The sequence below is a fragment of the Homo sapiens genome, chromosome 22 (assembly GCF_000001405.40).
Source record: "Homo sapiens chromosome 22, GRCh38.p14 Primary Assembly".
NCBI lineage: Eukaryota > Metazoa > Chordata > Mammalia > Primates > Hominidae > Homo > Homo sapiens.
Genome location: NC_000022.11, coordinates 31,043,210 through 31,045,086, shown reverse-complemented (window position 1 = coordinate 31,045,086; position 1,877 = coordinate 31,043,210). Strand labels below are relative to the sequence as shown.

General features: G+C 47.9%; 2 annotated features.

Moving 5' to 3' along the window:
- Positions 1-570: an enhancer, noted in NCBI's record as "H3K4me1 hESC enhancer chr22:31440503-31441072 (GRCh37/hg19 assembly coordinates)". NCBI's record gives its function as "activates a minimal SCP1, AML or CMV promoter by ChIP-STARR-seq in naive H9 embryonic stem cells {active_cell/tissue: H9 hESC(naive)}" and the evidence as "EXISTENCE:reporter gene assay evidence [ECO:0000049][PMID:30033119]".
- Positions 571-1,141: an enhancer, noted in NCBI's record as "H3K4me1 hESC enhancer chr22:31439932-31440502 (GRCh37/hg19 assembly coordinates)". NCBI's record gives its function as "activates a minimal SCP1, AML or CMV promoter by ChIP-STARR-seq in naive H9 embryonic stem cells {active_cell/tissue: H9 hESC(naive)}" and the evidence as "EXISTENCE:reporter gene assay evidence [ECO:0000049][PMID:30033119]".

Sequence of the window (1,877 nt, the reverse complement as noted above, 5' to 3'; positions counted from 1 at the left end):
TAAAAATACAAAAATTGGCTGGGCGTGGTGGTGTGTCCCTGTAGTCCCAGCTACTTGGGAGGCTGAGGTAGGAGAATCACTTGAACCTGGGAGGTGGAGGTTGCAGTGAGCCGAGATTGTGCCCCTCACTCCAGCCTGGGGGACAGAGCAAGACTCCGTCTCAAAAATAATAATAATTATAAAATAATAATGATTTGCAAAGCCTGTTTGAAGTGCCTGAATGTCACTGATTCCTGAACTCCAGTTCTCTAGCTACATCAGAGTATCCAAACCCCATCCTAGAAGAGTCTGATTCACCGTAAGTTGGAGTCGGGGCCTGGCCATCTGCCATTTTCACACACTTGCCAGATGTCGTTGCTATTCACTAGGTTTGGTGACCACTGAGGCTCAGAGAGGTGAAGGCACTTGCCCAAAGTCTGTAGGTGGTGGGGGAGGGGGCGGAGGCTGGTGTTTGAACCTGGTTGGCCTGGCCCTCCACATTCACCAGCTCCACTTCGGCCTCCCGCTGGACTGGCTCCTTTCTCCATGTTATTTTCCCCTGGATGCAGGAATCTGGGCTGTGGCTGAGCCTGCCCGCCCTGTCCTCTCTTCCCATCCCCGCCCCCAGCCTCAAAGGTCAGGTACCTCCCAGCCTCCCTCGGTCGTGTCCATTTATGGCTCTGTTGTTCCAAAATGTGGCCAAATTTATAAACTCCCCTTTCCTGGAGACACGAAACAATTTGTGCAGAGTGCAGTGCGGGGGCAGAGCTGGGAGCTTCATCTAAGACCTGGACTTCAGCCCAGGCCCAATGAGCTCTGGCGTTGAACAGGCTCCAGTTCCTCCCTGGGCCTCAGTCTCCTCACCTGCAGAGTAAATATACTGGACTAGATCATTCCGTAAGTACTTCCTAAGTCTAGACGCAGCCACACGTTTTTACTTCTTAAAAATACCAATTCCCTAAATCCGTGGGCTCAATAATTACAAAAGAAGGTGCTGGGGGATGGAGTCTCTACTGCTATCTTTTGCATTTTTTTCTTTTCTTAATTTTATTATTATTATTTTTTAAGAGACAAGGTTTCACCATGTTGTCCCGGCTGGTCTTGAACTCCTGGACTCCAGTGATCTGTCCATCTTGGCCTCCAGAGTATTGGGATTACAGGCATGAGCCACGGCACCCAGCCTCTTTTTCTTTTTTCGGGCTTGATTTTTTTTTTTTAAATTAAAAAAATTACCCAAAGAATTAACTTACACGGTAAAGTAGAAGTCCCCCTTTCCAGCCACCCCTTCCTGCTCCCTTTCCCAAAAGTATGGGGTAGAGCTTTCAAGACAGGTTTCTCTGCATTTATTGATATATGTACTCATGTTCCTATGGAGGTTTTTATTTTTTACATAAAAAGGAATTACGGTATATTTTGTTTGGCATTCTACTTTTTTTCACTTAACGTCTTATTCTTTTTCCCACATCAATCTCTTTTTTTACTTTTTTTTTCTTCTGGGATGGAGTCTTTCTTTGTCACGCAGGCTGGAGTGCAGCGACACGGACTCAGCTCACTGCACCCTCCACCTCCTGGGTTCAAGCGATTCTCCTGCCTCACTCTCCCAAGTAGCTAAGATTACAGGCAGGTGCCACCACGCCCAGCTAATTTTTGTATTTTTTAGTAGAGATGGGGGTTTCACCATGTTGGCCAGGCTGGTCTCAAACTCCTGATCTCAAGTGATCTGCCCGCCTCAGCCTCTCAAAGTGCGGGGATTATAGGCGTGAGCCACCACATAGAGTCTCAATCTCCTTTTTACAAAACTGTTTTGGCTGGGCACAGAGGCTCACGCTTGTAATCCCAGCACTTTGGGAGGCCTAGGTGGGTGGATCGCCTGAGCTCAGGAGTTCCAGACAAGCCTG